General features: G+C 44.6%; 1 protein-coding gene across 4 annotated transcripts in view, besides 7 other annotated features; it reads left to right on the top strand.

Moving 5' to 3' along the window:
* Positions 1-22,063, top strand: part of SPRED2 (sprouty related EVH1 domain containing 2) — a 125,425-nt gene that overhangs the window by 41,436 nt on the left and 61,926 nt on the right. Inside the window, exon 1 of one of the 4 annotated variants that reach the window (XM_047443709.1) lies at positions 4,856-10,538. The exons of the other annotated variants lie outside the window; for them this stretch is intronic. The gene's annotated coding sequence lies outside the window, so the exon portion shown is untranslated. Of the gene's footprint in view, positions 1-4,855; positions 10,539-22,063 lie in introns of those variants that run through there. 4 annotated transcript variants of the gene reach the window in all.
* Positions 574-693: an enhancer, noted in NCBI's record as "active region_15935". NCBI's record gives its function as "activates an Ori minimal core promoter by ATAC-STARR-seq in GM12878 lymphoblastoid cells {active_cell/tissue: GM12878}" and the evidence as "EXISTENCE:reporter gene assay evidence [ECO:0000049][PMID:35858748]".
* Positions 784-853: an enhancer, noted in NCBI's record as "active region_15934". NCBI's record gives its function as "activates an Ori minimal core promoter by ATAC-STARR-seq in GM12878 lymphoblastoid cells {active_cell/tissue: GM12878}" and the evidence as "EXISTENCE:reporter gene assay evidence [ECO:0000049][PMID:35858748]".
* Positions 904-1,063: an enhancer, noted in NCBI's record as "active region_15933". NCBI's record gives its function as "activates an Ori minimal core promoter by ATAC-STARR-seq in GM12878 lymphoblastoid cells {active_cell/tissue: GM12878}" and the evidence as "EXISTENCE:reporter gene assay evidence [ECO:0000049][PMID:35858748]".
* Positions 2,884-3,420: an enhancer, noted in NCBI's record as "H3K4me1 hESC enhancer chr2:65614878-65615414 (GRCh37/hg19 assembly coordinates)". NCBI's record gives its function as "activates a minimal SCP1, AML or CMV promoter by ChIP-STARR-seq in naive H9 embryonic stem cells {active_cell/tissue: H9 hESC(naive)}" and the evidence as "EXISTENCE:reporter gene assay evidence [ECO:0000049][PMID:30033119]".
* Positions 7,776-7,825: an enhancer, noted in NCBI's record as "active region_15932". NCBI's record gives its function as "activates an Ori minimal core promoter by ATAC-STARR-seq in GM12878 lymphoblastoid cells {active_cell/tissue: GM12878}" and the evidence as "EXISTENCE:reporter gene assay evidence [ECO:0000049][PMID:35858748]".
* Positions 8,036-8,165: an enhancer, noted in NCBI's record as "active region_15931". NCBI's record gives its function as "activates an Ori minimal core promoter by ATAC-STARR-seq in GM12878 lymphoblastoid cells {active_cell/tissue: GM12878}" and the evidence as "EXISTENCE:reporter gene assay evidence [ECO:0000049][PMID:35858748]".
* Positions 12,859-13,440: an enhancer, noted in NCBI's record as "NANOG-H3K27ac hESC enhancer chr2:65604858-65605439 (GRCh37/hg19 assembly coordinates)". NCBI's record gives its function as "activates a minimal SCP1, AML or CMV promoter by ChIP-STARR-seq in naive H9 embryonic stem cells {active_cell/tissue: H9 hESC(naive)}" and the evidence as "EXISTENCE:reporter gene assay evidence [ECO:0000049][PMID:30033119]".

Below are 22,063 nucleotides of genomic sequence, written 5' to 3'. Positions count from 1 at the left end.
GGAAGGGCCAAAGATAAAGTGACAAGCTCATGGGGCCTGTGTGGTAGTCAGGCAGTAGATTTTTTTTTTTTTTTTTGAGATGGAGTCTCGCTCTGTCACCCAGGCTGGAGTGCAGTGGCATGAACCTGGCTCACTGCAGCCTCTGCCTCCCAGGCTCAAGCGATTCTCCCACCTCACCTGCCCAAGTAGCTGGGACTACAGGCATGCACCCCCACACCCAGCTAATTTTATTTTGCATTTTTTGTAGAGACGGGGTTTTACATGTTGCCTAGGCTGGTCTCAAACTCCTGAGCTCAAGTGATCCACTACCTTGGCCTCCCAAAGTGCTGGGATTACAGGCATGAGCCACTGTGCTTGGCCCAGGGAGTAGATTTTCTGATGATAAAATTAACGTGACTTGTTCTAGAAAATACAGGGAAAGAGTAAATGTGCAAAGACTTAAATAGCATTTACATGTAGCCCACAGTGCTCTAAATGCTTTTGGTGGTTCACAGTTTAATCATCATAACCCTATGAACTAGATACTGTTGTTGCATCCCCATTTACAGAGGCATAGAGACATGGAGTAATTCACCCATAGCCACACAGCCCTTGACAGAATCTGGATTTGAACTCAGGCAGTTCGGATCCAGAGTCTGGGCCATTGACCACCTCCTGCATCTCTGTAGATCCCCGACTCCAGCCTCTCCTCTTGCTGCCTCTCTCAACAGTAACGATGCTGTTACTCCCCACGCCAAACCTCTGGGCTGGCCAGGCTCACTCCAGTCCCACAGTCATTGCCAGGACTGCCTTTGACCTTACACAGAGGAAACATCTTCCACCTGTCGGGAGGGAGCCGGGGCGGGGATTTCCATGGCAGAGTTACTGTTCTCTGGTGATAGAGTTCTTTCAGTTTTGCTACATGGTCTTGTGGCAAAGGACTGGGTGCAGGTGCAGCCTTGGTTATTTCTGGAAACACTTCTCCTTTTCTTTTATTTTGCCAGGTCTGGCTCATCAGTCACCTTCCTCTCAGAAAGGTGATTTTGGCTCCTCTGCCCAGACCATCAAACATTTCTGGAGGTGTCACAAGCTTCCGTGAGGGTTCTGGTCTCTGCGAATTGCAGGAAGAATCCAAACATAGGAAAGGGGTGATGTGTATCAGGGTGTCCATCCTCAGCTTTGCTCCACAAAGACCCTCACACTTGCACATTGTTTTGTTAACAGTATTATCTCTGAGTAGTGGGTTTATTGTTTTTGCTTACCTGTTTTAAACACTTCTTCAACAAACTTGCTTTACTTTCCATTTTTTAAAAGTGTATTTCAATTTTTTATTAATAATGCCATTTTACTCCTGCAAAATTTCTCACTCCTTCAAAGTCTGTGTATGGCAAAGATCTTCCTAACCATCATTCAAGTTAGAGCAACTCCATTTCTGTATCAAAAAGAAATACCTTTAGTTATTGTCTGAACTTGTCAGAATTTCTGAGAACGATGCCAGAAATTCTATAATTGTTTTGTCACATTAATTGAACAATGAGAGGGCACCAGCATTCCTCACTCATGAGGTAGAAGCACCACATCTACATTTCTTTTTAGCTATGGGTGATGTTTTTGCTTTTAAATCTTAGAAATCTGTTAATAAACAAATAACACAACAAAGTTTGGGGTACTTCCTTGTGGGGACTGGGATGCTTAAGCTAAAACAAAGTTTAAATTTGGACTGTGTGTGTTATGTTTCGCAGAATCTATATGTTTCTCAAAAGTGGGTGTCACCCTCCTTCCTCCCCCAACACACCCTTCAGGGGTAAGAGGAGAAGTAATGTAGAAAAATTAACTGTTTCTCCACTGTAAAAGTAGGGTGTCTTTAGAATGTTTCATGTTCAAAGGAAAGATTGTGCTTCTCCCAAGGCAAGGTGTTCCCTTAAAAAAAAAAAAAAAAAAGGTTGAGCATGTCTTTGTATTGCTGTCTCTGGAAGAGGAAATGAGGCATCTCTTGGGGTGAGAACAAGGGAGAATTGAACTCTCGGGCCTGGCCAGATGGATTCCTCACACTGGCACAGAGCTGTGAAGGGAAGGGCCTTTCATCCTCCAGAGGAAAGAGGGCTGGGGTCTCAGAGGCCAGAGCATAGGGACAGGCAGGAGTCCTGCAGCCCTGATGCCTGCCCCTCCCAGTACAGAATCTCTGTCCTGACCCCCACCTGTTGAACCTTTCAAATCCCAGTGACTCGCCAGCTTTCTCTGTGGATATTGGCTGAATTGGTGGCTTGTGTGGCTGCCTGGGAGAGCAATTTACCCCTGAGCCAAGGAGGGGGTGGGCTACAGTGAGATGGAGAAAGACCATTTTAATTAAAGAATAGGGCCTTTATAATATGAAACCACATGCTCAGGGTTTGGGTTTTGCTTTGGGTACCTAGGAAACATCCGTGAACACAACAGTAGTGTTTTTAGTTGGGGTGTGTGTGTGTGTGGTGTGCCTGTTTTGGGGAAAAATTGCTTTTCACCACCCCCCTCCTGCTTTTGGTCCTTTGTCTGCCCTGGAAGAATCACTGGAGGGGACTGAGGGACTTCCTGCCTAATTGATAACAGCCCCTAAGAGCACATGGTAAACCCTGCAGTAGGAGACCAGGACATCTCCCAGCCACCCTCACTGTACTCACTATACTCTTATGGGCTCAAGAAGTCACTGAAAATGGAGCCGTAAGCCCATGGGCCTTGGCTAATTTTTCAAGGCCCAGGATCAAGTAGGAGCAGGTACTTTAGCTGGGAGCCAGGCACTGGGCAGGCAGGGCGGCCCTGCCCACATGCCGCCTAGGGCTGGCATGACCTCACCGTCATTTGTTGGGCACTGATAATGTCTTTGGCCCGGCCCCTAATAGGAGACACGCGATCTCTACCTTGAGGGCTCATATTCAGAGTTTCATAAGCACTGGATTCACTCAGGTTGAACTTTCTTTTCCCCATACACGCTTTATTAAAATAAGTGAACACAGCATGTGGGTGAGGCGCTGGCCCAGCTCTGTGCGGCTGTGTGATGTGCTGAAGCTGAAGACGCGAGCTGCATGGCTGCATCGTGGTGGTTTTTAGAAATTCGTTCTCCGCTGGGCGTGGTGGCTCATGCCTGTAATCCCAGCACTTTGGGAGGCCGAGGCAGATCACTTGAGGTCAGGAGTTCGAGACCAACCTGGCCAACATGGTGAAACCCTGTCTCTACTGAAAATACAAAAATTAGCCAGACATGGTGGTGCACATGTGTAATCCCAGCTACTTGGGAGGCGGAGGCAGGAGAATCGCTTGAATGTGGGAGGCGGAGAATGCAGTGAACTGAGATCATGCCACTGCACTCCAGCCTGGGCAACAGAGCCAAACTCTCAAAAAAAAAAAGAAAAAGAAAAGAATTTGCTTTCCCTAGGTTTTCAGTGTGTATACATTTCCTTTCATATACATGTATATATATTATATGTTTATGGTAAATCGGCATTTTTAGTTTCATAGTCTTTAGATCTAAATTGGAAATGCATTTATATATTTAAATTTTTAAATTTGTTTTAACCAAACTCTATAGTATCTTCACTCTGGAGTTAGTATGCACACAAATACCTAACCTTTCCAATGTAGGCCCTAGTTACTTCCAAAATAATTTAGAAGTGTTTACAGATATGTTTTGACGATTTTGCTATGATTTTTCATTTATTGGTATCAGAATTGAATATATTTAGCTGTTGCTCTCTGCTAAGTAAACTGAGACCTAGGTGTGCTTACCATTGTTTTCTGTGAAAACCAGCTGATCCGTGTTACAAATGACTGTTTTAGCTATGGAAACAAGACACCTCTGTGAATATGATTCCTTGTGTGGTGGGCATCACTAGAGAGCAATGACTGTATTCCCTAAAGAGAAAGTGCGAGAGCGGCAGTACAGACCAAGGCAGAGGTGGCTGAGGAGATTGTTCCGGTCAGCAATGTAGAATTCCTGCCCCTGTGTTCTGTGACCCCAACAGAGGGAGCCAGCACCCACTGTGCACCTCCCACACAGCCCACACTGCACAAGGCATTTAGACAGTGCCTTAAATTCACTCCATCAATACTGTGAGAGCCCCACTGGCTTCCCCTTTGGGGTTTTAGACATTTAGGGTATTCACTGAATACTTTACGTTGAAGTGTTTTTCTATAACATTAGAACCAGGTTCAACTTAAAAAAAAAAAAAAAGCTCTTAGCCATATGTAGAAAACTGTTCATCCGTGTGAGTTCTAGGTGAAGTATGGTGGGAAAGCTGGGTCTCTAAAGCAGACATTCTTATTTTTTGTTTTGTTGTTTTTTTAAATTATACTTTAAGTTTTAGGGTACATGTGCACAACGTGCAGGTTTGTTACAAAAGTAGACGTTATTTTTAAAAGATGCTTTTATGCCCAAGACTTCTGAAACACAGAGTGCTCTGAATATACAGAATGACAGCTGAAGAGCCCAAACCTGAAATTTCCTTCCTTATATAGATAGTCCGAGCTTTACTTGATCTCTCTTCCTCTATAAAAATGGAAGCCATACTGTAAGGATGAAGATGATGTATATTTGTCAAATTCATGATTGCATTATGAGCTTACTAAGTTTGCAGCACTGTTCTGGGTGTTGCATAATCAGAAGTGACCTTACATTCTTAAGGGGGAGATACACAATATGCATAGAAGCATGTAAACAAAAAGAGTACAGATGGTACCAATGCCATGAGAGGTACGATAGAGAGGACGTGACCTGGCCCTTACCTAGTGAATACTTGTCTCCATAATTGTTAGCTGCTGCTACTACTATTGTGGTTGCTGAATGCCCTGCTGGGGTAAGAAGGTCCCTTGATTAAATCTAGTGAAGACCTTCTGATACCAGTGCTTTCTTTTTTTTTTTTTTTTTTTGAGACAGAGTCTCACTCTTGTCGCCCAGGCTGGAGTGCAATGGCGCGATCTCGGCTCCCTGCAACCTCCATCTCCCGGGTTCAAGCGATTCTCCTGCCTCAGCCTCCCGAGTAGCTAGGATTATAGGCACCCGCTACCACGCCCAGCTAATTTTTGTATCTTTAGTAGAGATGAGGTTTCACCCTGTTGGCCAGGCTGGTCTCAAACTCCTGACCTCAGGCGATCCTCCCGCCCCCGCTTCCCAAAGTGCTGGGATTACAGGCGTGAGCCACCGCACCCGACCAGTCCTGTGCTTTCTGATACAATATCATCCCCCTTCTTTGCCTCACCATCTCCCATGGGCATGATCAGTTAACAATTGCTGGAAAAATCAACTTTACCTGAACATTTAGGAAGCTATTTGGGATGTCCAGTGTTTTTCTTCCTCTTGAAAAACACTAACGCAGGTCTGCATTTATTAGGGGAGTGGGGATCATCATCTGTCTCTTCTGCCGCTTTGCTCTAAAGGAACTCAAGAGCCCATAAGCATTTTCCCTGAAAAGGTCATCATTTCCAAAGAAATGAGAGCTCATTTAAAGTTTCTAGGTATGAAAATCCTAGGTTCTTGCCCTTCTCCTTCCACTTCTTGGTGGCAGTGGGTAGGGAATCAAACATCAGATGACCTTCTTCCTCTCTGGTTTCTCCCCACCGCTGTATCAGACCAGGAAGGTGAAAGAGGGTCATGCTGACTCTCCTAACTCCCATCCCTCTGCCACGCCTCCCCTCCACTGCAGCACTGGCATGGTTACCTGTGAAGCAACTGCCAAAGACAACATGGGCAGCCTTTGTGTCTGGGTAGCCCAGTTCACAATGGCGGTTAATGGAAGTTCCTGTTCAGACGCCCTCCAACTCCCCAGAGGGCGTGGGCATCTCCTCTTATGTAAAGGGGAAATCTTAGGAAATTTTTAATTTTTCCTTTAATCAGTCAGCAAGGTCATAAGAGGCTTTGTAAGTATTCATTAGAAGTGGAAAGCAGGCCGGGCGTGGTGGCTCACACCTGCAATGACAGCATTTTGGGAGGCCAAGGCAGGCGGATCACCTGAGGTCAGGAGTTTGAGACCAGCCTGGCAAACATGGTGAAACCCCATCTCTACTAAAAATACAAAAATTAGCCAGGTGTGGTGGTGCGCCTGTAGTCCCAGCTACTCAGGGAGGCTGAGACAGGAGAATTGCTTGAACCTGGGAGGCAGAGGTTGCAGTGAGCCGAGATGGCGCCACTGCACTCCAGCCTGGGTGACAGAGCAAGAGTCCGTCTCAAAAAAAAAAAAAAAGAAGAAGTGGAAAGCAAAATTTCTAGTGAACATACCATAGAAATTTATAGCAGATCTACTGTGTGTCAAGTTTTGTTCTGAACAGGTGGAGAGGAGGGCACAGAAATGAACAGGCAATGAACAAGGAGCCTGGAACTCTTGGTGAATCGAGGTGTGCATGAGAGACAGGCAAATGAATAAGCATACTGTAAATCAAGGCCAGAGAGTGCCTCTGAATGGGGACCTGACAGGGTGGAAACCGATCTTCTTGTCTTGAAGTCTTCCTTGAGGGAAAGGATGAGTTTCACTGGAGTGAGGAAGAGGTAAGGAGGGCTTTTCTCCGTGGGGGTAGCATCTGCCTTCTGGGGTCGGTCTAAGGGAGGTGTGGGGAAGGGGCTGGCCTCACGGGCCTGCACCCTATGCTACCACACCGGCTTGCTCTCAGAAGGGCCCCACACTTGGTTTAATGCTCTGCTGTTGCTGCCTTGAAATTCTTACTAAGTTTTGAACTAATTATTATTTAGTTAATAAATAACAAATTATTTTCATTTTGTACCAGGCCCTGCAAATCATGCAGCTGGTCCTGCCTATGGAGATGGGACTGTAAAAGTAGATTTGGCTGGATTGTGAAGAGCTTTGCCCGTCAAGCTTGGGAACATCTGACTTTATTCCATAAGCAGTAGGGAGCCATGGAAAGTATGCTGACAGGGTTGGGAGAAAGGGGCACTGGAGGCTGTGAGACCAGGGAGGCCAGCAGTCCACCGAGGGAGGCTGATAACACCACGCTGGGATAGACACCGAGAGCTGCAGTTCCCACACCTGGTGGAGATAGGCCGGCTCTGGGCACTGGGAAGGAGGCCGAGAGCGGCCGTTGCAGGTGGCTGAGGCTTCTAGCTGAGCAGATCCTGCACATCAAGAATGCAGGAGAAAGAAGTCCCTCAGCCAGTGGCAGCGAGGCAGATGTTTTGCAGGAGTGGGGCAAGGCTCTTTCCAGAAAGACCCGGAAATCTCTGGTGGGACAGCTTGTAGAAACATGCACTGCAGCTGCTCAGCTACAGCAAATGACCTGCAGATCAAGGTTTTTGTCAGTATCGAGAGCTTCACTAGAACAAATATTCATCCAAAAATAAACTTCCCGTTCTTCCTGTTTTTATAACTTGCCTATTTCCTCTGAGTTTGAGGCTGGGCTCCAGTTCCATGGGTTATTAATCTTCAGAGGATCAAGACCTCTATAGAAGTATTTCCTGTACATGTTTATCTACCCAGCCCTAAATTATATTCTCCAAATGATAAGAGAACTTTTCCATACTCGTGTGTCAGACTTCTCCTTAGGGAGATTTCGATTAGGCACCACAGCAAGTAGGGCCAAACCAGAAAGCCTTATCTCAGAACATAGGGAACCCACGTAACGGTGGGGAGCGGCCTTTGGTGGGTTTTGATGGGCACTCAGCCTCCCTCCTCCATGTGAAAGGTAGCTTCTTTCTGGCCAGAGTTCTAAGGACATAAAGTAATAGCTGAAGAGGGCCCTATCTGAGGATATTTTAAATTCCCTGTTGAATACCACAGGGGATATTAGCTAAAGAAATTCTGCTCCTTTGAAGAGCTCAAAATACCCCTCATTGGACCATCACTTGTTCTTACAGCATCTTCCAACTAGAAACAGGGCCCCGGCCTCACAGACAAGGGAACTAGAGTGAACTTGGTGCTCATGACAGCACAGAGCAAGAGGGAAAAGCTCTGTTGAAGCTTGGGCCGAGTTCAGACCTGATAGACAAGTATGGTTAAGCAGGCGTGGGCGCTTTACTCATCGGCCCGGTCCACCTGCCTCTGGAGCCCTTCCTTGCTCTCCTACTTTTTGTGCTTACAGACGCCAAGCTAGCATGCCGGTGGTATTTTTAAAACGTAAGCCTTCTTGTATGACTCTTGCAGAGAGGCGGTGGTGACCGGGCTGCGTGGGTGGCGGCTTGTGCCGCAGCGGAACTTGGAGAAAGGCCAGCTGCCTTTTACTGAGGCCTTCCGAGGTGGGGCTGGGATGCCACATTTTTCAAACACACCACCGCAAGGCAGCACCCCTCCCCCTTAGAGATCCAGGTGACTCCACTGAGAATTACTGCGCCACACCGTGGCTTCTAGACCCACACTGTCAAGTATGTAGTCCTTGCCACCTGGGCTGTTGAACCTGGAAATGAGGCTTGTACGAACTGACTAAAAGTGCAAAATACACATTGGATTTTGAAGCCTTATTACAAAAAGAAAAAAAAGAATGTGAAGTATCTCATTAATGATTATTTTATTTTGGTTACTGTGGAAACAAATATTTTAGATATCTTGGTTTGTGTCAACTATGTTATAATTAATGACACCTGCTTTTTAATTACTCTTTAAATGTGACTACTAGAAAATTTTAAACTGTGTATGTGGCTCAGTTTCCATTTCTATGGGACAGTACCGCTAGTCTGTGCTGTGAGTTCAGCTGCCAGTTGTGGCTTTGAAACCAGTACATTCCCAGAGGCTCCTCTCCTTAGTGGTCTGGCTGAGGGGGGGTTACCCAGCCCTAACCCTAGACTGCCTAGGGTAGTGTGTGGGACAGCCTGCTTCCAGGCAAAAAGTTAATAATTTAATAAGCAGCAGCAAGAATTTCTAAAAATCCTTTCCAAAGCACCCCCCCTGGCTTTTTTTTCTTCTTCTTCTTCGTAGCCTTCTTCCTGGACCAGCCTTCTTCCTGGAAATCTTTTTTTAAATGCAGAACTCTTCCCTTCTGTCCCACATGGGACCTGTGGAGGTGATGGTGTCCAGAGGGGCTATTGTTTTATTTTATTTTCTTGTTTAAATTGTTCTTTTGCCCACAGGTCAGGCTGCTCCAGTAGCTGCCTTTTAACCCTTCCTCTGCAGGACCATCTCAGAAACCACCCAGCAAAGACTGGGAAGCCACTCTTTTAGACCAGTTCCCCCTCCCTTCTCCCTTTGGAGTGGTTACTCAAGCGCAGACATATATTGGGAAAACACAAGGTGGATGTGAAACCAAGGAAACTCCTGCTTTGAGAAGTACAGAAGTGCAGACCCACAACCAACCTCCTAATGTCAAGCTGGCATTTTAGGAAAAAGGTGTGTGTGGTGGGGGGAATTCCACTGGTGTCTGAAAGCCCCCAAGTAATTCCCTGTTGCAAGGAGGAGTCTCATGTTGACTTCAGAGGTCCAGGCAGAACCTGTTGAATTGCACAGTTCCCATTTGCTAGAGGATATTACACGGTGAGATCTCTCTGCTCAGGGACCGGGGCTGAGGGCTTCTGTCATCAGCCAGTGGAGCGGCCCTGCACCGAGGCACCTCCCTGCTTTTGCCACATTTTGCCCACCCTGCTGTCTGTCATGTACTGAACCTTTGCTGGAATAATTGCCATAGGTGTCAACATGTATTAAGGGCTTGCTGTATGAAGGTACTATGCAAAGTGCCTTTTGCTATGTGCAGCTAACTAGCATAACAAACCCCAAGATGCCCCAGAGGAGATACTCTTGTTTCCCTGTTTTGCAGATAGAGAAACTGCAGGTTAGAGAGATGAAATAAGTTGACCAAGCTAGAAATTGGTGGGCAGGGAACACAACTTGGGCCATGCTGCTTTAGAGCTGCCGAGTGTTTAACTGTTAAGGTGTCATTCTGCACTGCCTAGACCAGCCCATGTATGTTACCGTTCCATTCTGCATGAGCATTTGTCTATTATCAAGACATCTGCTGGTGCAGGCTGGGACACAACACCAAGGGAGGGTTAAATTCTGGGTTGCCAAACCAGCTGAGCTACGAGTTGAGGAGCACTGAGCGCCTCTGAGCTTTGCTGGGCTAACTTGGTGAGGTTTGGAAATGAGCAAAGGGGTAAGAAAGAGCCATGTGTCTGGAGTCAGGCTGCCTATTTGGTTTGACCTCTCAATGGCTTCATAGGTTGGGCTACTCCTTCTCTGGGCAGCAGTTTCCCCAGTTCTAAAATGGGGATCCTAAGAGCGCCTTCCTCAGAGAACTGCAATGAGAATTAAAGAGGACACATAAAGGCAAAGTGTACTTGGCATGTCAATGTCATTAATATCATTAATGCCATTTAATGCTCTTTGATGGAGCATAATCTATATAACATGTAATAGAAGATATAATCGTGGCTTGAATTTTTTGTTGTTTTAAGGCAAACACTTCAGAGCATGTACCTTTGCATCTGAACACATACGTCTGTATTTGAATGTTATATCTTTCAAAGCCATGACCTCACCTCAGGAGACTCCTCTCTCAACTTGATCTCACAGCCATTTACTGGAAACATTTTCAGAAGCCTTTGTGGAACTCTTTTCAGAAGAAAAAAAGAGAGAAAGTGGGGGCCATACTTGGCACTAGTAAGTATTTATCTTGTAAAGGTAGATTTTTAAGTTTATTAGAGCTAAGTTTGGTAAATAAGTCCAGAACAAGCTTTGAGCCACTGAAATTTTAAAAATGGTGTTTAACTAACAGTAAGGATGGAATTTTTTTTAATGGCTGACTCATTCATGATTGACTAGCCTCGAAGGCAGTTCCATAAGAAAGGTTCCAGACAGCTTTTGACTTCTGACAGCGTCTCTGGAACGCCAGTAGAGTCTCCTGGGGCAAAAGCTTTAATGACAGGGGTTTGGGGATGAGTACGCAGCCTTGACTAAGATCTATAAGGTTGAGTCTAGAGAGAAAAAATTAGTCTTATTTACACCTACGGTATTAAGTGATACTGGCACCTGAGTCGACCTTGTCTTTGGGGCTTGCATAGCTACAAATGGGACCAGTAACAGAGAAGGTTCTCTGCATCCAAGGAGTAGAGTCCAAAACGTGACTTTTGACTTAGGTTGACTTGCACACCAGGTTTCTCTATACCTTATGATATACAGAATTCAAACCTGAATATGTGAGTGCAGGTCAAGGGAAGGACCCTCAGGTTGGTATCCTCAGCAAGGACTTTAGAGTTGGGTGTGTAAGAAGCACTCAACCTCCTTGTATAGTGCCACGGACAGAGCAGCCAGGGCAGCTGGAAAGCAACACCCAGCTGGGGTGGGTGGAGGAAGAATGCATGTCCCCATGGAACACGATAAAGCAAAGTTCAAGGCTCATGATGACTAATAGGTTCATCTAGGAGGATGTGTGACCAAGCAACCTTTGTATTATTTCCTACAGGTGGAAATGAGAGGTGCCATGTTCATTCTATCCTAAAGTATCTCTTAGAGGACTTTGCTGTGGAGAAAGTGTAGTGCCTTGGAGTTTGGCTGGGTCAGATTCCAGCCCTGCTCTCTATTGCAGTGTCGACTCAAGCATAGTAACTAAGGTTTCATGAGCCTCATTACGCTCATCTATAAAATGGAAACATGATTACACTTCAGGGTTGTCATAGGAGGGAAGGTCATAGGAGTTACACAGATGAGGGGACTCAACAGAGCAAGTGTTCCACCTCTCCCAGGCTCTGAGAATGACACCAGAATCTATCTTTTTGCCACAAGAAAGTAGGCAGAGGCTCATCGTTGCTCGTCAGAGTATGCCACCTGCCACAGGAAAATGGCCCCAGTCTCTTTGTGAGGAGAGGCTTGCCCTCCTAAGAGAATTCTCCTTCCTCTTTGCTTGAATAAGACCAGCTGTTAGGGCCCCAGTACTCAGCAGCTATGACAAATTTCACTGCTTAAGACCCCTCAGCCTCTTAAAACAGGAGTTTTTCTGTAGCTAACATAAGCTGCTCTCAGCAAGATGCACATTAGCACTTAATGCTCAGGTGGGTGAGGGGGAACACTCAATGGAACACTTGGTGTATCCACTGCAATCCTGATATTGGTAAAAAGTCACTTCTCATCTGGCTTTAAAGTAGGTCCAGCTTCTCATTTTAACCTGTTTGCCAAGTCCCTAGTTTTTACTATAGCTCTCGTGTCATCTTTGATTGCACCGGTAATGTAGGGATGCTCAGCCTGGACCCCAGACTTGGAGGCCCTAGAGAGACAGATAATCAGGCCAAGGGGGTCCCAGGAAAGGCTTGAGCAGAGAGCATCCAGCTGCCCCTGTCCTTTCTCATTCGCTTACCCTTGATATCTTCCTGAACTGGTATGTTAGGTTCTCAGAGTACTAACTCTCAAACTTCACTGTACATTAGAATTACTGGGGAACTTTTTAAAATCCAGAAATTCAGGCTGTACCCCAAACAATTAAATTAGGCATGAATTAAAACAACAAAAGTAACCCCTCCAGGTGATTCCAGTGTGCAGCCACATTTGAGAACCAATGTGTTAGTTGATGGAATGAAAAATCGAGTGCAGTTACTTACTGGGTTGACTTTTGTGCGGTCACCAACTCTTATCATCTGAGGATCACACAGGACACAATGTCACCCCTATGGGGCCACACTGCCTGTTCTGGTCACTAGTGAGGTCTCAGTGGCATATAGCCATTTTAACAGCTCTTTTTCCTTTTTACCGTGAAACATTGACAGAGATAGAGTAGTATATGCCCCCACCCCATGTACTCATCACCCAGCTGTCATTCATGTCTCCTCCGCCCCACACACACACTTTTTCTTGTATGGAGGGGGTGGACTGCAGTATTTTAAAGCAAATCCCTGACATATAATTTCATCTATAAATACTTCAGTATGTATTTCTGAGAGATAAGGACTTTAAAACAAGAACCGCAATACCATGATCACACCTAAGAAAATTAACAGTAGTTCTTTAATCTCATCTAATACCAAATCCATGTTCTATTTTCTCCAATTTGTCTGAAAAATACCTTTATACATTTGGTTTATTCCAATTAAAGCCCAAACAAGTGTTACTCACTTTTAGTAGTTTGACTTTAACCCCAGGGTAATTAAACTGTCATTGTGTACACAGGTAACGATGCATATGCACTTCTGAAAAGAGGTGTCAATGGAATTTGGCTCAGCTGATGTTTACTGGATGGGCTCTCTCCTCCTTCCTTCCTTAGCCCTTCTGGTGGGATCTTGACATGTTACAGAGGAAATGCTAATTGAAGCCCCAGCCACAACCACTTCTGTGCTCTGCTTCTGCCTGAAGGCATGTTCCCTTTGGTAAACTTAGAATAGAACCTTCAGGATGCATGTGGAAAGAGAGTATGAGTCAGCTCCGTGGACAGCTTAGAATTTCCTGCCCCTTTGCTGGAGGCTGTGTCTGAGAAGTGCTGGGACTGCCCCCGGGCTCCTCTTTGGTCTCTGCTGAGGACTGCCGCTTTGACAGTTACCTAGGGAGTTGCCCAGGACTTGTGTTCTGATGGAAGGACCAGCCAACACCCACACAGCCTTCCTTTCCTTGGTGTGCAGATGGCTCTATGCAGTCTTATCTCCAGCTGGGCATCTGGGTTCAGGTCAGACGATGACCAGGAAAGGAGGGGGTGAGTTTCTGCCCTCTGAGGTAACACCTACCACCTCATCAGTCATTGCTTTGCCACAGTGTTCCCCCTCTATGAGACCGAACACTGTTAGAATTTCTTAGAGTCAGACGCTGCAGCTTTAATGGGTGATGAGGCTTTGGGGGGTCGGCAAGAGGAGGATAAGGATGGAGAATGGGCAGCCTAAATAATCAAACTGTATCACTCCTTTCACAAATACCAATCCAGTGCTACCACGTATGCATCATTCATTATCCTGACCCAACAAATCTAAATTTGGTTTTATTTTTCTGTAGCTTTTTTCTTCTTTAGAAGGGCTTTGTCTTGATTTCAGATGGGTTTACAGTTGCAAGATTTTCTTCTGTCTTTGTATCATGGTTAGATGGTTACAGAGCAGTAAACAAGCATCTTAATATGTAAAGGCAACTCTAATGTATAAGGTTATTTATCACAGGATTATTTTTAACAGCAAAAAGTTTGGAAAACACTAAATGTTCATTAATAAGAAACTAGTTAAATAAATCATGGTACATCCCTATAGTGGAATATTGTGCAGATATAAAAGGAAATGAATTAGTTGTGTTTCAATATGGAAAGATTGTGGCCAGGCATGGTGGCTCACGCCTGTAATCTCAGCACTTTGGGAGGCCGAGGCAGGCGGATCATGAGGTCAGGAGATCGAGACCATCCTGGCTAACACGGTGAAACCCCGTCTCTACTAAAAATACAAAAAATTAGCCGGGCATGGTGGCGGGCGTCTGTAGTCCCAGCTACTCAGGAGGCTGAGGCAGGAGAATGGCGTAAACCCGGGAGGCAGAGCTTGCAGTGAGCCGAGATTGCGCCACTGCACTCCAGACTGGGCAACAGAGTGAGACTCCATCTCAAAAAAAAAATATGGAAAGACTGTGAAGAGATAAACAGCAAGGTCTAGAACATGTGAATAACGTGCTTGCTACCTTTTTTGTGAGATGAGTTTGGGAGAGAATACATATTAATATTTGCATAAACCCTAGAAGGATACACAAAGCAACCTTTAAGAAATGGGTACCACTGGCATGTTGGGTAGGAGAAGGAATGGGGCAGATGGGATGGTGGGAGTACGCCTTTGTATTTTGATTTATGAATCAAATCAATATGATACCTATACAGAACAATTAATAAAATTAAAAAGAAAAATGCATCTATCTTTACATTGTACAGATAAATTAATGGCTTCATTATGCCCCAGTTAATCTGTTTTGTAAGCTTCTGGCCACTGCTTATCCACATTTAAACAGTCCAGAATCTGCTCTGAAACGGACCCATGGAATGCCGTGCCCTGTTCTTCCCATGATGCTTTCCTCAGCAACAGATAATAAATACATGGTTGGCTCCTGGAGCCCATGGGCGTTTCCCCTTCTTCACCCTGAAATATAAACTGAGCTGACAGCCTCTAAAGTTTAACTGTAGGGAACAGGGAAGGCAGGTGCCTATGTCCCACAACATAGTGGGCTGCTGTCTTCTTTCTTCGGAGGAGGTGTGGTGGGAGGATAGGGAGCACAAGAGCATGGCCTCCTCTCCCACCCCAGTCTCTCTTGCTTACCTGTTGGCATTCTGTGCACCATATTGTCTGTATGTTTGTGTTTATTTCCAGCTTGTCCTGAGTGGTAGCAAAATCTCTCTGAGCTGAACTGGTCCCACCCTGGTAGCTTTGGAATGTTCAAATGTTAAGACTTGCTCTTCACACTCCACACATTCTTAGCATCGGGGGCTCATGGGAAACAAACAAATGAAATCCGTGGAACTCCTTTCTCCATCTTGAGTGGAGAAAGAGGCAGAGAAGATCTTTGGGGAGACTTGAAACAAAGAACCGTGAGAATGAACCTTGTTTAAAAGTTTAAAAGTGTTCTGAAAAATGAAATTCAAGGACACTTGGGATCTATTCTCGGCTCTGCCACAAATGTACCTTTTCTATTTTATTCTGGTTTGTGCATTACTATTAGGTTTCTACCTACAAAATAGGTAGAGCCCACATTGACTGTCCATTCCCCCTACTGTTTCGTCTTAGCCAGCTGACACTTACTTTAATGAAACTTGAGAGCTGTCCTTTTAATGCCAGCTAAATGAAGAGAGTGGGTAAGCCCTCCTCCTTTGGCCCTTTTCTTCCTTGAATGAGGACTACGTGAGTACTATTATGAGGATGAGTGCTGGTCAGTTGAGATTTGATCAGGGACTTGTCATCTCCCCTACAGATCTCTGTCCCTTTTGAATAGGGCTATACACACAGTGGAAATCACATGTGGTCACAGCTACCTGAGACCGGCATACAAGCCTTCGCCTCTTCCTCCAGTGCTGGGAAGAGTTAATGTTCCTGTGATGGAGTGCCAGTTGAAGTCATTGACTGGCATTTAAGAGCCATGTTGACACATGAGTATGTGCTGCAACTTTAAATGCTTGAGGCACATCAGGGGTGGCAAGGCACGTGGGCAGGGGCCCCCAAGTCTCAGCCAACTCCAGGGTATGTGTTCTTCAGAGGAAGGGCCTCTACTCTCTAAATGTTCTCAGGCTCTTGCTGAGTGTGCGTTGTTCAATTGGAAAGGGTAACTGTGCACCTATGAGACACCCCTGTAAAACACTCATCTGCCACACACAGCAAGCTTCTTTTCTTGGTGAGGTGCTTTGGATACCCGCTTCTCTCCCCTCTCCCAGCAAGCTGTATTAGGCTCACTCTTGGGGATACCTGAGAGGAGGAGATACTCGAAACAAGTTGGGTGCTCTCCACACATGCCTCCCCTATGCAGAATGCAGGTAAGCCATGGGCAGGAAGTTGGGCCCCAAGTCAGTCGTCTGTAAGCTTTATCTGATAGTTTCCCATCTATTAACCAGTGAGCCCTGACTCACCTTCACTGGCCTATTTTTAAAATTTCTGTTAGAGCTGAAATGTTTGTGGCAGAGCCAGGAAGAATTTTCAAGTATTTAGTAACTTTGGCTGCCCTGCTGGTGATTTATTTAACCTGCCACCTGAGAATTCTCATCCAGGTAAATATCCTAGATGTGATCATCTACTTTTCTTATTCTGGAATCATGAGAAACCAGAAAGTTAACTGTGACAGAATTTTGGGATTTGTTTTAGTTAGGTAGCTAATTCTTAGTAAGGAACAATGAGTTTAGAATCTGAATTTAGAATCTTAGTAATGAACAATGAATTTAGAATTTAGAACAATGAATTTAGAATCAGGCCCAGTTCTGGCTCCTGCAGTTAAATTTGTACAAGGAACTTGATCAACAGCTGTAATTTTCTCTTCCATCAAGTGTGCTTGGTCTGGACCTAGGTATTTCTGAAGTCCAGTTTAGAATTCCAGGCAGCTCTTCTAGTTCTGTAGTTAATGTCTAAGGTTCATAAGGTGTGAACCCCATAAATTATTTATTTGCCCCTCTGGGAAGCTGAACGAAAGCAGAAGAAAATAAAATCTTGCTAAGCCCTGTGCACAATCTCTTTTGTTTTTATCAGGAATGAATAAATAGAAAAACGGGAATGTTATTTTCCAGTAATTTTTTAAATGGATCTCAGTGGCGAAAAGTACGTTAAGTTAGCAAACGTGCCTCACATACTGTGGATGCCTGTAAGACTCTTACATTCGTCTGCCTAGATGTATTTCAGGTGAATGTTTTTCTTTGCATTTGCTAAATTTTCTGTAGTGAATTTATCACTTTTTGTAATGAAGAAAAAAATACACATCACAGAAGTTTGCTGTTGTCATTTCCTCCCCTCATGTAATCCTTATCTCTACCCCCTGTAGAAGCCAATAAAAGATAATCTGTGTTTGTTGAATGAATGAAGAAACCCAGTCTACCGTGGGTTTACCATGTGCCAAATGCAGAGCTACAAAAGGAAAAATGAAAAAGAAAAGACCTAGAGAATCTCAAGTCCAGTGGCAAAGATGACATGCAAGTCATAGCAAAATGCTGTAATTGTGGCACCAATTGCCATGAAGACAGAAGAGATTGTGCTATAGACTCTGTCTCCCCATCTTGGGTCTTTGTTTGGGATAAAAGTCCAGTGTAATTCTAAAACTCAGTGTTTGCATATTACATAACCATAGCTAATATTGACATTAGCTGCTGCTGTTGACTAATGTTTGTTTGTAAGGAAAAGTGAGTTCTAGCTTTGGGGTAAGATCCACATCCTTTTGGACTGGTGTGTGAGTTTGGTGTGGTCTCTTAGATCCAGCATCAGGGACATAGCTTTCCTCCCAATCCATTGGTCTTGATCCACCAACAGTGCCCAGCTTTCTTTCCACTCCCCTCTTCTTTATGGGGTACTTTTATTGTTAGGCAGTTTTCTCATTTCGCTGTGTTGGAGCTTCAGGTACTAAACTAGTTTAAACCCTGCATTTTCTAGACAAGGAATTTGAAGCACAAAGAAGTTAAGTGACTCTACCTCAGGTTGTATAACTAGTGGCAAAGCTAGGCCAAAGCTACTGCCTCTCAATAGAATAAATTTGCAAGATTTCTAACTCCATTAATTATGGGCTGTTTACCTAGGAGAATGATTAAAAAGTATTGTTGAAAGTTCTTAGAAGACATTTCCATGTCCACAGCTGTATAGGCATCTGACAAACAGATAGCTTCCATGTGAAAGGTTTACTTAGCTAGGAAGCTGTCTTGGATAAGTTTTTTGTGGCCAGCATCAAGGTGAGTAATAGATTTCTCTGCTTAAGACTATTCTTAGAATTTTACAGAGCAGCTTCAGGTCTAATTCTGGCTTAGAGGTAGGGAAACAGCAGAATGGGTTGAGTTGGCCTGAGTGGCAGATTTGGGTCTAGCATGCTTAGTCCGGTTAATGATCCTCTTGGTGCAAGTGCTCCTTAAGGAATAGGTCATTCAACTTTAAGCTGATTTCAAGCTCAGACCTCATTGTTCAGCCTGTCAGTTGCTAAATACATTAAATGGTCACTCCTTAACTCCCTTTATCTCATTTCCAGGACTTGAGTTAACCCAATCCCTTGAACTTCAAATTCCACTTCTAGATCTAGACTTGGTCTGTTTGCAACCAGGTCTGAAGCCAGGCCTTGTCCTGGTTGGTCCTCAACACTCTTTTGCCAGGCTTTAAGGGGAAACTGGTCTCCTCTCATAGACACCTGGCCTCCCATCAGCCACATAATCAGCACCCTGAATGCCGCAACCATTCCCTTTTCATTGCTAATCAAGCCCCCGGCTCTTCCCATACTTTCCCAGAGTGACTTTCCCATATTTCTAATGTATTTTGGATTCTTCCTCTCTCATCAGGCCTGCTGCATTTGTTTAACATACTGTGCAGGAGAAACTCAGACTATCTAGACAAAGCCTGCCGACTAATCCAGCCCTGATTTTCCCTCCACACAGTCCAGGAACAGAATTTACGGGTGTGATAATAGAACCCTATGGAGCACCCCACACAGAGTGGGCTTTGGGAGAATGTGAGTTCCCTTTGCCTTTCCCTAAAGAAACCTGGGCTGAAACCACAGTCCTAGCTCTGAAAGATCCTTACATTATAGAGCCTTTTTTTTTTCTTTCTTTCTTTTTTGAGACAGTCTCGCTCTGTCTTCCAGGCAGGAGTGCAGTGGTGCGATCTCTGTTCACTGCAACCTCTGCTTCCCGGGCTCAAACGATTCTCCTGCCTCAGCCTCCCAAGTAGCTGGGATTACAGGCATCCACCACACCCGGATAATTTTTGTATTTTTAGTAGAGACGGGCTTTCACCATGTTAGCCAAGCTCATTTCAAACTCCTGAACTCAAATGATCTGCCTGCCCCGGCCTCCCAAAGTGCTGGGATTAGAGGCGTGAGCCACCGCGCCCGGTTGAGCCTCTTACTTTTTTTTTTCAATCTACTTGGCATAATAGCCCATATGCATTTCATCTGCGAGAGCCAGGTCTTCTGGCTCTGGCCAAGCTGAACATCCCCAAATTAACCCTGAGCTTTGGAGAGAGCTTTATTTTACCCCCTCTGCCAGCCCGTTACACTTTAAGAAACATAGCTGAAAACTGACTTAGCTTCAAGTAAGATTTGTCACTGTGTGTACTGAAGGCCCGGCTCTACTAGGTAACAATAGAAATCATCTGCCTCCGCCGCCTCCTTGACCAGCCTTCATCATTCTCATCAGTATTTAACATAGACATTTCTCTATTGGATTGACTTCTCAAAGATGTTGATATTTTCCAGTAAGGCAGCAAGTGACCACCAGAAAGACACTGTGTATATCTAAGTACACCCCAGTTTAATCTGTTCAAACAGCTGGCTGAGGCTTCTTTTTTCAAGAGAACATAACTGAAGGCAGTTAGAATGGTTTCTTTTGTGCAAATTTCCCCTCCCAGAGACCAGTCCCAGGAGTTCCTTCAACTGCATTATCCATTAATGCTGTGGATTCATTTCCCCCAAATAAACAAGTTTTCCTGCCAAAAAAAATATTCAGTATGATTGGATGCGGGGATATGTCTTGGGACCTGATTTTGAGGCACGTTCTTCATTTTTCTGGGTTGGCCCTCATTTTCCTTACTGAGCTCTTACGGGCAGCGACAGGGTGGCTGTAGCCCTCATTTCTGAAGGCCCTCACTGCCTTGTTAATCCTGTGTGTGGCTATTCAGCCCCCTTGAAAGCATCCTTCATTTCTGTTTGCTTAGTTTCCTGCATGCCTCTTCCAGATCATCTTTCACCTCTTGCTTCAACCTCTGGGGACATGTGTGGTTTCTACATAATGCACAAATGTGACTTCGGGGGAGGGGAGGATGGCTGTGGACTCATACACTTCAGCTGGAATCACTGGACTCTGAAATAGGGGAGGTCCTTTCTGAATGGGCTGGTCAGGAAAGAGGGGAGATGGAAAGACCAACAGGCAACCTCAGGCACTGTAGATTTCCCCTCCTACCGCAAGACAGAAAGCTGTGTATGTGTTTTGCATTATAAGGAAAGTGTGAACTACAGATCCTGTGGACCAAATCACTATAAATAACACTCTTGTATCTGATTCTAAATTGGGACATTGAGGAGAATAAGGGACCAACAACCAACATTTCTGTAGGAAAAAGATCTGGTTCTTTATTCACCCAAATGTTGATCACTGGGGGTCAACGAATTTTCTCTATGAAAGTTAGATGGTAAATATTTTCAGCTTTGGGGACCGTATGGTTTCTGTCACAGCTGCTCAGTCCTGCCTTTGTAGCTCTCAAGCAGCCATAGACAGCATATAAACACTCGAATGTGTGGCTGGCCATAATTTGCCCACCTCTGAGAGAGTCTAAATTCATAAAATTTACTAATAATCATTGTCGTTGTTCACATAAATTGATGAGTGTTCTGTATGTGGCCAGGCTCTATGCTAAGTACTTGTTGCGAATGGTCGCATTTATACCATTCAAAACAATTCTGTAAGATTATTAATAGTATTGTACCCATCTTACAGGTAAGGAAGCAGAGGCTTAGAGAAGTTAAATAACATTAAGTGTAGGCAAGGTTGAATTTGGAACAAGTAAATTTCACTCCAAACTCATGCTTTATACCACTACACAATACAGTCAGCCTACAGTACCTGCATCATTGATATCCGCATTTTCTTTTAGATCCTGACATAAGCCAGTATTTGGACTTAAGTTATATACATATATAGCTAAAGTTTTGCTGTATAGTTACAGCTAGTTTTGCTTCTTACCTGCCGAGGATCAGTGCTAGGAAATGAATACATGAAGTCCTGGAGAGCTCAGAGGCAGAAGACATATATGTCCAGGCTGCTTTCCAGGTTCTAAGACCCTGTGCTCTGAAAATAGTGAGGTGGAGCCAGGCCTTCAGCAAGCTATACTACTCCTTGGAATGGCCTCACCCAGGCCCAGCACTGGCATGAGCTGCCAAGCCATTGCACACAGGTGCAGGCTCCTCAGCTGCTGGTGGCACAGAGCAGCTTCTGCTGTTTCCCTACCTCTAAGCCAGAATTAGACCTGAAGCTGCTCTGTGGTCAGGGGAGACTAGAAATTGCATAATTAAGTTGTTTTCTAAATAGTGGTATCATTAGCATGCAAGTCGACCAAACAGAAATGTCTGTTAAAGATGGTAGGAACCATGTTTTGATGCCTTTGTTGTTATAATGAGTAAAATGTGTTCTGAAGAAAACTTAGAGTAAAAGTAAAAGATCAGGGGAAAAGTATCGCATATGCTATCACCACCAAAGTTCTTTCTTCAGGCTTATTGGGATGGTAGTGGGGGTTGGGGGTGGGGATTCTGTGGTCAAATAAATTTGGAAAATGCAAGCCTAGAAAAACTTGAACAATATTCTCAGGGATATAGTATGATGTTTTCCCAAAATGTGTGCATGTGTGTGTGTATGTGTGTGTGTGTGTATGTGTATGTATGTGTCTCCCCTTATAAAAATGTTTATAAGGAATATCCTTTGAGAAACCCAAACCCAGAGGCATTTCCCAGTGTTAACACTTTGGTAAATTTCTTTATGGTCCAATATTTTTCAAATGGGTGGGCATGTCAGCAACAGTAACTGTGGTGATTATTAA

This window comes from Homo sapiens, chromosome 2 (assembly GCF_000001405.40).
Source record: "Homo sapiens chromosome 2, GRCh38.p14 Primary Assembly".
In the NCBI taxonomy this organism is placed as follows: Eukaryota; Metazoa; Chordata; class Mammalia; order Primates; family Hominidae; genus Homo; species Homo sapiens.
The sequence above is the reverse complement of the archived record's forward strand: the minus strand, read 5'-3'. Positions and strand labels throughout refer to the sequence as shown.